The sequence below is a fragment of the Homo sapiens genome, chromosome 10 (assembly GCF_000001405.40).
Source record: "Homo sapiens chromosome 10, GRCh38.p14 Primary Assembly".
In the NCBI taxonomy this organism is placed as follows: domain Eukaryota; kingdom Metazoa; phylum Chordata; class Mammalia; order Primates; family Hominidae; genus Homo; species Homo sapiens.
The window spans coordinates 80,242,126-80,255,759 of NC_000010.11; the positions used below are offsets into that span (position 1 = coordinate 80,242,126).

A 13,634-nucleotide genomic window follows, 5' to 3' on the forward strand; every position below is an offset into this window, starting at 1 on the left:
GAAGTGGGATCCAGAGAGATTCCTTTATCATGTGATACATGACAAATACATTCAATGTTATATTTCAATCTAAAAAATAAGTAAATGACTTTAAAGATAATCACTTTATACCTAGTTTGTCCAACCCATGGGTGGCAGAGTGTATTCAACCCGGGACAGCTTTTCTGAATGCAGCCCAACACAAATTTCTAAACTTTCTTCAAACATTCTGAGATTTTTTTGTGATTTTTTTTCCTCATCAGTTATTGTTAGTGTACTTTATGTGTGGCACAAGACAATTCTCCTTCTAATATAGCCCAGGGAAGCCAAAAGACTGGACATGCCTGCTTCAGACCAAGAAAAAAGACAGCCCACATTTGCACGCCTAAATACACTACCATCCATGCAAGAAACATGAGACTGGAAATTTCCAATCTTTCCTGAAGCAGTGGAATTGCCCGGGGATATCTGAGGGGTGTGGTTACTTCTTGGAGGAGGTTAAGGGTTTCTAAGGATGATCCTTTGTAACTGAAATATTGTAAATGTCATTGAGCCTTCTCATTATGTCAACTAGTAGTATTCCATATCGTCAATTTTCTGCCTGGGCATTTTCATCCCGGGCCTGACTTTTTTGGAATTCCTTGGATGCTTATCATTATTGTTGTGTCCCTGGGAATTTACAAACTTGCCATTTTCTTCTGCAAAACTAGCCTTGGTGTGAGTACACTAACTTTCCCTAGAGGTGGACTTGTAATCACAAATAAGAAATTATTTAAAACAATTTGTGGTTCTGGACTTCATTATGAATATTGGGTTTTATTTAAAAAATCAGGAAATGATTTATTAGCATAAGAATTATGAAAAATCTGCCATTTAAATTATGGCAGATTTTTTAAATTTTTTTAAATTTTTAATTCAACCTATTTAATTAAAAAATTAAATAGGTTTGTGTTTGTTTAATAGAATGTCAACAGAGCTTTTGGTCAAAAATACGTTTTTTTAAGCCCTCTGCTCTTTATCAAAAACTGAAGTATAAAGTTTCAGCACTTAAATAAGAAATTCTTTCTAAACTTTTCTGCTTTATAGTTCTATTGTATGGGTGGAAGGAAAGCTTCCACTCTCCTCTCTAAAGGTTCACTGCAGCAATGTACTAACAACAGACAGCTTAACAGGAGAAGGAAAACATAGAACCTTATTAACAGGCATAAACATGGGAGCCAGCCAAAAAATGAGACTGCAAGAAGGGCCAGATGATTGATGCTTAATGAGCACCCTCTTCTCAGGGAAAAGGGAGATGGAGATGAAGGCAGGGCAGCAAATGATTATTAGGGGAAATGAAAGAGCCCAAGGAACAAACAGCTGGCCTGAGACAAAGTTCCTCTGAGATCATGAGGAAGAGGCGACAAACTGCAGGAAGGTCAAGGGCAGAACTGCACTGTGTCTCATGATGCAGAGAAAGCCCCAGAGAATCTCTTGGAACTGCCCTCCGAAGAATCAATGAAAAGTGTGTCTGGGCAGAGTAATGAGTGGTCATTTCAAATGGCATCATTCAAAGTACATGTTCTCGGTTGCCACTGGAGAGGGATCGGTATGTCAAAAGTCTGTACTGGTTAAGAATGTGGCTGCTAAATTGTGCCATAATTTGGCTTTTGAGCATTTTTGTCCATTGAGTAAATCGAGCTCTACGTTTTCTCTTGCTGTTCATGACAGTAAAAGTTTGGGTGTCTAGGGGCTTAAACATCTTCTGAACAATGATCCAAGAAAAAAGTGCTAACACCACAATGCTTTTTTATCCTCAAGGGAAGGGGGAGTATGTTTTATTTTTACAACCTAGATAATTACACATCATTTGGCACTGCCCTTCAACATACGTAGAAAACAGAAAATATATGAGTTCTGAAGATATCTAGGCACATTGAACAGTCTCTACTCAACTTAGTCCTGAAGAGAGAATTTTTGATGTGAACTGGGGGAAGTTTTTTAATGTACCACTTTTTAAATATTCCATTAAGAAAAGTTCAGTTGAGCTGTTTGACTTGAACCACTTTGCACCTTCTCATCTTTCTCCTTGTTATCTACTCCTCTATCCCATTATCTCACAAACCAGGACATCGTGAGTGCCATGAAATGTTCATGCCTCACGGTTTTTCTTTGCTTCTCATTTCTTCATGTGTTTGACATTTCTCCTAGCTGCAAACTGGGCCAGCTGCTTTCCCCATAAAATCTAGCGGTAGCTGTGGGGCGCATGCGGTTGCTCTTTCATCTTTTTAGATCACCCATTGCTTCTATCGAAATCCTAGTACATGTTTTTTTGGGTTTTTTTTTCTATCCTATGTGAAGAAATCAGAAAAAAAAGCATTCTACACAGAACTTTAAAGATGTTATTTCATTGAATACATCAGGAATTTCAGAGGTATATGACGTACATTTGCAACAGGATTTGCATTGCATATTAGCCAAGAAGAGAACAAATATTTCATGTCTTAGAAGATTCAACTCATATGCGGTCTATATGGAATTCTTTGTGGGAATTCAGTCATTACTGAGAATGTTTTGTGTTAGGTTCCAACCAGCCTCAGTGAAGCTGGTGTCAGGGAAGGGAAAGTGGGCTCTGAGTAGAGCATGGATGGAAAAAAGATGCTCCACAGAAGATCAGGAAGGAGCAGGGGGTGAAATGTTACAAATTCTTGAACTCAGAGAACTGAAGGTAGTTGCTTTCCTTTCAACCTGTGAAACATTTTAACCTGCGGTAAAATATGTATAACGTGATAATTACCATCTTAACCTTGTTGAAATGTACAGTTCAGTTGTGTGAAATATATTCACATCATTGTTCAATTATTGTTTTCTAGATGTCTTATCTCAAGTCTGTCTTACAGTCACAAAATGTCAATGACAGAACACGGATTTACAGGGGAAAGCCTGCAGGTCCAATAGCCGTAGCCAGGAAGGTATGCTATCTGTCAGAGTCCCCATAGTGTGGAAATGAGTTTGCCCTTTTAAGGGAAAGAACAGCTTCTGGCCCTCAGGTTTCTCCCCGTCTCCTCTCTACACCCTAACCAAGGGCTCAGGTCCACTTATATGCACACGAATAGAAGGATTTTATCCTTTGCAGGAATTAAAATGGACCCAAAATACCTCTTTACATTATGGAGATCTACAGAAGCTAAAGTGCAAGCCAAAGTCCAAAAGGTGATGATGAAGGTCAACAGTCATTGCGAAATCTCTGGGCAAAGAAAGACTGCCGAGGAAGAGTAAGATGTTCACTGACACAAACACTGTTGTATGAACCATGTGCCAACCAAAGTAGACAACTGCAATGTCCCCGAGAATATTTTCCACAATATTTGTGGCAAATTCAGTGGGTGCAAAACTGAGCTTGTCCTTCCTGCTTGATTAATCTTCGTGTTTCCTTTCCCTTCCTACATTCTTGATTGTAATGTTTTAGGGGCAAGCGGAGGTCCAGGTACTGGCATTGTTAAATTCAATGCTTGGGTCACCTCGGGATTCATTTTCACAGTCTTTTAGCTTTTGGTCATATGACATTGTATTTTTCCTGCCACATGACTAGTCTTTTTGGCTAAATGTAAGACACTCGTTAAAAATATTTAGCAATGAATTGAGGCCGACTAGCATGTTATCTTGCTGCAGAAAAGATGGGAGTCTATTTCTGGGGAATGGGCAGGGGTCCTAGCACACCTAGACACCCTCCATACCATCCGCAATTGAGGTTATCAGTGAGGTTCAGTCCCTACAAAAGTCAGGGTGTTTCCTGTCCACCTCTATTCCTGGCGTGTGACTCTTCTGGGTCCCAACCAAAGCCAGTGGACTTCAGTAGGGGTCACCGTCACTAGCAGACCCTCAGTCTACTTGTTTTCCATCTAGTCCTCCACATGGTGCAAAAGCTGCTCTGCTTCTTTACATCTCAGTTAGTCCCTTCTGAAATTCAGTGATGAAACTGAGGGAAATGAGCCCCAAATGTGAGGCTGACCTTCGTCCTGGGTTCCTTCTTCTCCATCTTGGCCTCATGTCTCTTTATTGCCATTTTAGCAATTTGGTGCTTTCAGTCATGGGTTTTAGATTCTGCCCCATGTCCCCATTGCTCTCATGGGAGATCAGAAGCTTCACATGCACTCATGTCTACTCCAGAGCAGAATGCTTCCTTAGCTTCCCTCCAGGCTCAGGTTTTGTGTTTCTAGTTCCCAAGTTCACAGCAGGAGTAGTGATGTCCTCACTGGCTTCTCATTTGCGTTAAACTGTGAACTCCTTTAGGGTGGGGACAGGACCCTGCTCCCATTGCATCCTCTGCACCTCACAAGACACTCCTTGCTTCAGGCCACTCCAGACACCGTGTGCTGAAGGGTGCCCTGGGTGGTCAGAAACAAGTGCATGAACTTTCTCTTTGAAGTGTTTTTGTCCCTGTTTCCTAGAGTTCTTGGCATTTTACACGTCTTTCTTTCTTTCTTTTTTTTTCATATTAAACTTGTAGTTTTATTCAGGTTTGATTTTAACAAATGTGTCGGGGAGAGAGCCCTCAGGGAAGGGTAAAGCCCATGGGGGCAGGGCCTTCCCAGATGCCTGAGGAGGGGGCAGGTCCCCTCCCCTCTCCTCCTCTTCCCTCCCCATCTAAAGGGGTTTGGGGAGAGACACAGGCAGGCGAGGGGGCTGGTCCCCAGTCTGTTGGGTGGTGCTCAGGGTAAAGGGCTATGGGCAACAGGGGACCAGACCAAGGATGAGTGGGGAGGGCACAAGGACCATTTGCCAGAATCCACTGCTTTCTGATTCCAGATTGAATTAAAAAAAAAAAAAAAAAAAAACTAAACCACAAGCAGCACCCACCCCCTTCTCCCCCACCAGGGCTGTAGTGTGAGGGGAGAAGAGGAGGGCAGCTTCACCAAGGCCACGGCTTTGCTCGCTCCTGGCCAAGGGAGCTAGGTGAAGGGCAGGGGCTCCCTGACAGATTGAGGGGGTGGGGAAAACCAAAATAAAACGTCAAATAAATTGTGTAGGAGGAGTCCAGCCTAGGACCAGGCCAGAGCCAGGCCAGGCTGGGGGAGGGGGCCTCTGCAGGTTCGGAGGATCACTGCTGCCACCACTGCCACCTTGGGAGCCAGTTATTTTGCCATGGCCTTGATTGCAACAGCTGCCTCCTCTGTCATGGCAGACAGCACCGTGATCAGGATCTCTTCTCCACAGTCGTACTTCTGCTCAGTCTCCTTGCCAAGGTCTCCCTCAGGGAGACGAAGGTCCTCTGGTACCTCCCCGCTGTCCTGGAGCAGTGATAGGTACCCATCCTGGATGCCAATCAGCTGGAAGTCATTCCTTCTGATGTTGGGGACATCCATATTATGAGTTGACGGGCAGATATCTTCATATTTCTTCCCAGTAAAGATGTCAATACCAACCAGATGGACCTTGGCGTGGCCGTGCTTGCCAGTCTTCGAAGCAGACATCTCCACGATCTTACATGGCCAGCCTTTGAGCACCACAAAGCCATTCTTACGTAATGCTGAGCACTGCATTGGGAAGGTGGCTGAGGCCCCTGCATCTCCTGTCTCGAAGTCCAAATCATCTGCCATTTTAAGAGGCTTCGATTCCAACTGGCGCAAACGGCACTGACTCGACCCCGTCCGCTCGCCGCGAGCCCAACCGCTGCCTCCGAGCCCGCCGCCGCCGCCGCCGCCGCCTCTACCCAGGCATTTTACACGTCTTTCATATGAAATCAAGTATCAAGTGAGATTTTTAGAATCAGAACCATGAATCAAGTAGTGTGAGGCAACACAGCAAACCCACCTTTTTAGGCCATTTCCTTTTTTCTGCCCTCAGTCTCTGTGAAACAAACCTTGTTAAAGTCTCTGGACACCAGAGGATGGTTTGCAGTTGTCACCTATTTTCAGGACATAACACCCTAACTAAAGAGCCATTGGATCATTTCCAATTCAGTAGATGCACCCAGCACTCAGATTGGCCTTTTCTCTCAACCAGGATCTTTAAAGTCGATGAGAAGAGTTCCAGTCCTGAATCATGGACATGTGCAGTAGTGAACCGCAGGGCTAATGACAGCATGTCCTGGAAGGATCTCTCTGAGGCTGATTGTCTGGGTTCTGGCATCAGCCTCTGATGGAGAATCAGGTCTCCCTGTGGGAGGAGTCAGACGAGGAGTGATCCGCTGCTCCGTCCTTATGGGTTTAGTTGTGATGAGCTGGTGAGGTCTGGTTTTCCACACTGAACTAAAATGAGCTTTCGCTATGTCAGGCAAAAGACTGATCCCAGAAGCACGCATAGCGCATCTCATAGAAGCTTTTAATAGTTCATATTTACTAAAGAGTAGGAATACAGAGCGATGAAGATGAGCTGGAAACGACAGGTGACTTGCCAGCAGGCCAGAATGTGCTTTTTCTTTGTCCCATGGAAGGTGTTAATTCTCTCTCCAGTTGTGAGGATCAGTTGGTTCATTTATGGGAAGGTTGTCAGGGGACCTTTGAATCACGGCCTTCAGATGCCACAAGGAATCCCACACAGGCCAGTGGATCACGTGCATGCATTTCTCTCCCTTCTCGACTCAGGAAGCTGAGAATGAAAGAACGTGAACGAGAAGAAAAGGAGAGGCGGCTGTCAGAGGTGGAAGAAACCATGAAATTGGCTCTAGAAAAAATACCCATCTGCAAGTGGGTTCAGAAACCGACACCAGCCTCTTGGGGAAGCGCTGGTGGAGTGTTTTGTTTTAAATCTTTGTACAATCTTTAGACCCAGTTAACACAGAAATGGAAACAAATGGTCAGAAGCGATACCTAGAGAGAGAGACAATTCACACAAGAGAACACACGTACCTTAAGATTTACTAGTGTTCAAAACATGTGAAGTAGCCAAACATCTCCTGACTGCAATGCCAGCCAGACTGTGTGGAAACTCGGTTCATACCAGCCGTTCTAGGGGTGATGCGAGTTGTCATCATCCTTAGGAAAGTGTGTTGTTGTAGGATCAACCCATCCTTCAAAAGGACTGTGCCTGTTTATAAGCTCAGCTGTTTCTGCCCTGTGAAATATGGCAAGGATATTAATTCCAGGAGAACAGAGCTTTATGATAAAAGATGCCCAATGAAGCATGAATTAGGGACATACTGAAAATGGGTAAGGAAATTGTCAACTCAGAACCCAGCAGGCATTAAGTAAAAGAGGAGGAAGCATTACAGCAACAGTTTTGATCATACTGTACTTTTATAGCCATGTGAAATACATTTTCTATGTATAGATAGATTGTGTAAGGGTACAATTGTGAGGACAACAGGAACATGGCAGATTATTTAAAATCATACTAAAGATGATGCTTTGTCTGATGAAAGTGATTCTAAACCATAGATAAACGATTCAAGACAGACAAGAGCTGCAGCAGTTGGTAGAGGACTCCTACAGATGAGAGGTAAGGAGCCTTCCTTCCTGCAGTTGCAGGATCCTTAAACGCTCATCAAGATGATGCCACTGCCCCTAGAATCTGTCAACATACATTTTCTCATGTGTTGGCTTTTTCAGATCGCCCCTTCTGCTGCAAGAAAGGCCTCAACAACTGGGTAAGTTTGTTCATTTTTCCCTTGCTTTTCGGCCAAGTCGGGACATGGATGTATTTTTCTCCCCACAGCTCTGTGCTCAAGCCTTGCAGAGGGAGATGGCAGAGAGGAAGGCTGCCGGCAAGCAGCACAGGTAGGTGATTGTGATGGACAAATTTTAAGGATGTTTTTGTTTTAAGATGAAGCTTTGACTGTCTAGTAAAGAAAACAGTGTTTTAATTCTTCTACAAGTCAACTCTTTCACTGTCTTCAAGACAGGAAATGATGGAAAAGCAGGGAGTGCTGGAGAGACACATGAGTCAGGAGGCAGCCCAGGGACAGCTAGGGCTAGAGAACCCTTTCTGGAGAGGTAGGAGCTCTCTGGGAAGGCACCCACTTAACTTCTGCTCCACAATCCACACCCCTGCTTCTCCTTTCTGGGGTGAGGGCTTGGGTTGGGTAATTGTTATGTTTCCTGGAAACAGTTCCAAGCACTTACTAAAGAGAACAGTTATCCCGCTGGGTGGCAGGACCGTTTTTCTCACGTGCCACAGCTGAATGACTCTTGGCTGGTCCCCTGTGAATAGCGGAGCACAGGCCCCTCCACTGACTGTGGACATCATTCCACCCTGATGTCTTGGTTACTTTTAACTGAGGGGATGAGCCTAGAAGGCAAATGGGTCAGCTCCCCTTCCAACCTTGAGTCAGTGGGAAGGCTTTATTTTTTTTATTATTATTTGAGAAAAGTAACACTAATAACATTTTAGAATGGGAGCCATAAGTGCTGATGAGAGCAGAAATTTTCTGGCTATGTCTTCATGGATCAATATTTCTTCTTTTCTTAAAGAATCAGAAGACATAGCCAGAAAACAGAGAAGACAAAGGTAAATGCTGGAGTCATTTTCCCTCTGCCTAGTTCAGGACAGTTTTGTCTTTTCCTACAGCGCCCTCTCCTGGCCTGTCCTCTGCTCTCTGGGTTCTGTGGTGCCTTTTCTAACTGGACTTTTTTGAAAGCAAAATCTTCCCCATGAGCTTTCAGGCTTCTCCATTTCCAGCTGGTCATCTTTGGTGGCACCTCCAGAAGCCATAAATGCTTAAGGGCCAAGGGCTGCAGGGCTGTCACTGTTCTGTTTCCAGAAATAACATGAGAGGATGCCATTGAACTCCACTGAGGTAGGTCTTATGGCCCAGTAGACCCTGACTGATCCCTTTTACTCAAGATGGTGTGGGATCCCCTTTCCAAAATATGTGGGGCTTCCTTTTTTTTTTTTTTTGCTGTGATTTTCTTTTCTGCTATGAGGTAAGTGATTAACCTTCAGAATATCCGCCGTAATCCCAGAAGTGAAAACTCATTGATCCAACATTAATATGTGCTTTGTGCAATTTTGAATGTTCTTTGGCAAAGTCAATTCCATAATTCATCACAGTCCCATCTCTGTTGTTAACTGTGTTGAGCAAAAACGCCCCCACCCTCACCCAGTGTTGCCCTTGATCTAATATTCTAAGTGTCAGAGGTTCCATATTTTAATAGAAAATGTGCCCTGGCTGTGAGGTAGTGGAGAGTGAACGTCACTCATTACCTACAGGGACAATTCTCAATGAAGGCCTTAAATGATGCTCAATTAAGCTGGTTCTCATGTGGCCTCTGTGTCTTCGACAGCTGCTGAATCCTCTGATCACACACGATGGGACTTGTACACTTGAAATCAAACATATTTTTAAAACTTCTGTTGTTGAGAATTCCCACCTCATTTTTCCATGGACAAAATTATTCTTTATGTCATAGTGCACTTAAAATTTGGTATTACCTAGAAGTTAAAGAAATATGATAACCGTGCCAAACTGCTATCTCTAGGTAAGATTATTCCGTCAGAAAACCCTCTCCCAGTTCCCCTGTAGCTCTTCAGGAATCCCCATCTCCCCATAGCTCTTTGTGCCCATGGATGGCGCTTCCAAAGTAGAGAAGACCGTTTGTCAAGAAGGGAAGCAGAAGGGGGACGAGAGGGTCTTGCAGGCAGAGCTGGAATCGACTTCCACTCTGCTTCTTGCAAGCTGTGTGATGCTAGGTGAAATTTCTCCTTCCTCTGGAGCCTCTATTTTCTTAGATTTGGAGCAGGGTGGTCACACTGACCTTGTAGATTTCTGAGAATCAGAGACAGCACATGAAAAGCCTGGAGGCCATTCTCTTAAGAGTAGCTGTGACTCATGTGTGGACAATGGGCTTTTCATGCTTCTGTTTCTCTCTGTTTATCTGATGCAAGGAACATGCTCCGGTGATGATGGTGAGGGAGGAATTAGGATAGACATAGACACCCCTGTGTCAGAAACATGCTTCTTTATTACTGGGTTATGACTCTGTCTTCCCAGGGACAGGCCCCAGCCTGCGTACATTTGCAGACAGAGTGGCGTGTGGGGATAGCAGTTTGTCCCCACGACTTTTCTTCACTCCCCTGCTGTTGGAAGGACTCAGTTGAAGGGACACTTTATGGCATTGATGCTGCCATTTTGAAACCTGGAGGAGGGAAAGGTGCAAGGGACTATCACCTGAGGCATAAGGTGCAGCTTGTGTTGGTTTTGGTGTTTTTGTGTCCATCATATTCATATATTTCAAAACATTTTCTCCTCCTGACTTGTAGGTCAATGTGGCTACAGGGAAGCCTCATCCTTTCTCAGAATGGCCCTACTTGCCCGATGTCATGGCTGGCCCTTCAGGACCATTGATGGGCTGCCAGCCGCCTCCTCTACCTGGGTGTTGTCTGGGAACTCAAACACTCCCTCCATCTGAAGGTTTTCTGGGACCTCAACAAACTCCTCCACTGGAGAGTCCTCTGGGAATTCAACCACCTCCACTCGACTGTCCTCTGGGAACTCAGCCACCTCCTGCACTAGAGAGTCCCCTGAAAACTTAACCACCTCCTCCACTCGATTGTTCTCTGGGGCCTTATCCAGCTCCTGCAGCTGTCAGTCCTCCAGGACCTCATCCACCTACTGCAGCTGCCTGTCTTTCCGGACCTCATCCACCACCTGCGGCTGTCAATCCTCCAGGACCTCAATCACCTGCTGCACCTGTTGGTCCTCCATGACCTCATTGACCCACGGCATGCATCTGACCTCATCCACCTCCTGCAGCTGTCAGTCCTCCGGGACCTCATTCACCTCCTGCAGCTGTCGGTCCTCCGGGACCTCATCCACCTCTCGAAGCTGGTGGTCCTCCGGAACCTCATCCACCTCCTGCAGCTGGTGGTCCTCCGGGACCTCATCCACCTTTTGCAGCTGTTGGTCTTCCGGGACCTCATTCACCTCCTGCAGCTGTTGGTCCTCTGGGACTTCATCCACACCCTGCAGCTGTAGGTCTTCTGGGACCTCATCCACCTCCTGCAGCTGTTGGTCCTCTGGGACCTCATCCACCTCCTGGAGCTGTAAGTCTTCTGGGACCTCATCAACATGCTACATGTGTCTGTCTTCCGGGACCTCATCCACCTCCTACAGCTCTTGGTCCTCCCAGACCTCATCCACGTCCAGCATGTGTCTTCCCTCCAGGACCTCATCCATCTTTTATAGCTGCCTTCCTCTAGGACATCATTTACCTTTTTGTTCTGTGAGGCCTCTGGGACCTCCGACTACATCTCCACTTAGTAACCTCTGGATCCTCAGCCACCCCTTCTACCTGGGTGGCGTCTGGCCCCTCAATAACCACCTTCACATGAATCTCCTCGGTTACTTCAATAATCTCCATTTGTGGTCCCTGGGACTTCAGCCACTTCCTCCACCAGGGTCTCCTCTAGTACATCTGCCACCTCCTCCACTTGGCTGGCCTCTGCTATCTGAACTCCTCCAGGACCTCAACCAGCTCCCCTACCCATTGTTGCCTGTAGGACCTCGACCACGACCTCCACATGTACTACTTGGTATATTTATCTGAACAGTATGAACTGAGTTGCAAAATGGATTCATCTTTCCCTTTCTGAATGAATAGAAATGTTACAGATTGTACTGCAGGGCTTTGCACTGGCTGAGGATGTGGTCACTTTGCTCAAGTTTCTGAGAGTACAAGTCAGTTGCATTATTTCCTCATCATGACCTTGGCAGAAGGTATCTTCTGTAGATGAGGAAAGAGTTTTTTTTCATTTTAAGGGGTGGGGGCAGAGTCTTGCTCTGTCACCAAGGCTGGGGTGCAGGGGTGCACTCCTGGCTCACTGCAACCTCCGTCTCCAGGGCTCAGGTGATCCTTCCACCTCAGCCTCCAGAGTAGCTGGGACTACAGGTGTGCAACACCATGCTTGGCTATTTTTATTTTTTAACTTTTTGTAGAGACCACGTTTCACCATGTTGCTCAGGCTGGCCTCAAGCTCCTGGAGCCATGCCATCTGCCCACTTTGGCCTCCCAAAGTGCTGAGATTACAAGTGTGAGCCACTGTGCCCAGCCAGAGGTTATTTATAGAAGCTAGAAATACAAGTTTTGCAGGCTTGTGTGGAACCTGGGCCATATGGCCAGCTCTGTGAGGGATGAGACCCATCCCTGGCTGGCAGGGCATCCTGTGTGCTGCAGCAGAGAGACCCACACTGAAGGGCACAGAGCTTCTGACCAGCCCAATGGAAACACAAGTGAAGGGACACAGGGTGCAGAAGGAGGAGACAGAATCTCCTGGGAGTAAACAGGAGGCTGTGGAAGAGAAAGCTGAAGCAGGGAGGTGTGACATGGGGGGTTGTTGAACTCAGGTAGAGCTGGAAGGCTGCTCCTAGCCAGGCAAGCAGCGTGAGCAGGAGCATGGAGGCTGCGGTGAGGGCCACACAGAGCTGCCATGGGAGCTCAGATACCACATTGTGCACAGGAAATTACCACCCCAGCACTTCCTTGTTGCCCTACAGCCTTTAGTCCATTATCGGTAGGAAGATGATTCTTTCCCTGGGTGCATGAAGGCTCTAGATCGGGGTGAATGAATGCCTAGAGGTCTGAAAATTTTAACTTGGTTCTGTCAGGGGAACCTGTCTCCCTGAGTTTTCACGGCCTAAGGAGACTAACAATGAGGATGGGTCTGGTTCAGTGGAGCTGCGGCCTTGGCCTTCAGAATGAGGCCAACTCTGGCTGGAAACTCAAGGCCAATCCTGAGCTGCTGTGACCTACTCTGATCTCCTGCACCCTCTCCTTCCCACCCACAACTCTCAGCTTTGCATCTCCCAACCTTGGCAGGCAAAATGCTTCCCCTTCCCTGTGTCTTTGCTGCCTAAGCCCAGACACCAACTCTCAGTAGAGCTCAGAGCCCCAGCTTTCTCAGAAATGAGCTGGGAATGATGCGATTATGAGGTCATGGTGAGGACAGGGAGACCAAGCTCATAAGGAAGGCATCTTGCAAAATAGCTGGTAGATGGTAGAGCCTCACCCCTCCCGCTGGTTAAATGAAAATATTTCCACTCAGAAGATCAGCAAAAGGTGTTCATTGAAGTTCATTTAATAAACCTTAGGGTGTAGCAGCTCAGGCTCTGGGATTTCCAGTTTCTCTTTCAAAAGATAAGGGAAAGCCCCTGTCTCCAAGATTAGAATTCAGATCCTTACGAGATGAAGAGATCCTAAAAATGCATACACAGTTAAACTCTGAGATTTGTATCTGTGATCTGTGGATAATTATTCTCCATGACATACAGACACAGATATGGCCACACACAGAAGTATTCAGCAGGGGCACAGATATTTCATAGAAGACAAAATGTATATTGGGCAAAAGAAGGTCACCTGGAAATAAACCGAAATCTTTTTACCTTACAGGATAATTTTGAAATTTGAAGAGTCTCCTGGGCCATGATATCTTGGAAAAGTCTCTACCATATTTGATGCTCCATGTCCCATGCTTCCTCCTCTCTCTCTCATTTCCAGTGTTTCCCTTTAGAAACATTTGCAGTCCTATCTTTCTGGGTGTCCGCTTCCTGGAGGACCAGTTCACACCCCAGGGTATACCAGGTGTGACTCCTCATACACTATTCAAACTCAGGCAGATACTGCCTTGCTGGACACAGAAGCAGGGTTACCCTTTGGGTAGTGTTGACTGGGAAGGGTCCGAGGGGGGCTTCTGGGGTGGGGGAATATCCTGTATCCAGCCACGGGTGGAGGTTGTGC

At 46.1% G+C, this 13,634-nt stretch overlaps 1 long non-coding RNA gene and 1 pseudogene across 1 annotated transcript, besides 1 other annotated feature; one reads left to right on the forward strand and one right to left on the reverse strand.

Annotated features, from left to right (window-relative positions):
* Positions 1-4,695: 4,695 nt before the first annotated feature.
* Positions 4,696-5,672, reverse strand: EIF5AP4 (eukaryotic translation initiation factor 5A pseudogene 4; annotated as a pseudogene).
* On the forward strand, positions 5,633-13,283 carry LOC100130698 (uncharacterized). Its single transcript, NR_136612.1, has 6 exons — positions 5,633-5,712; positions 6,546-6,647; positions 7,338-7,398; positions 7,509-7,546; positions 7,615-7,676; positions 10,159-13,283. It is a non-coding gene; the product is annotated as an uncharacterized LOC100130698 (long non-coding RNA).
* Positions 11,642-11,761: an enhancer, noted in NCBI's record as "active region_3653". NCBI's record gives its function as "activates an Ori minimal core promoter by ATAC-STARR-seq in GM12878 lymphoblastoid cells {active_cell/tissue: GM12878}" and the evidence as "EXISTENCE:reporter gene assay evidence [ECO:0000049][PMID:35858748]".
* Positions 13,284-13,634: the final 351 nt, after the last annotated feature.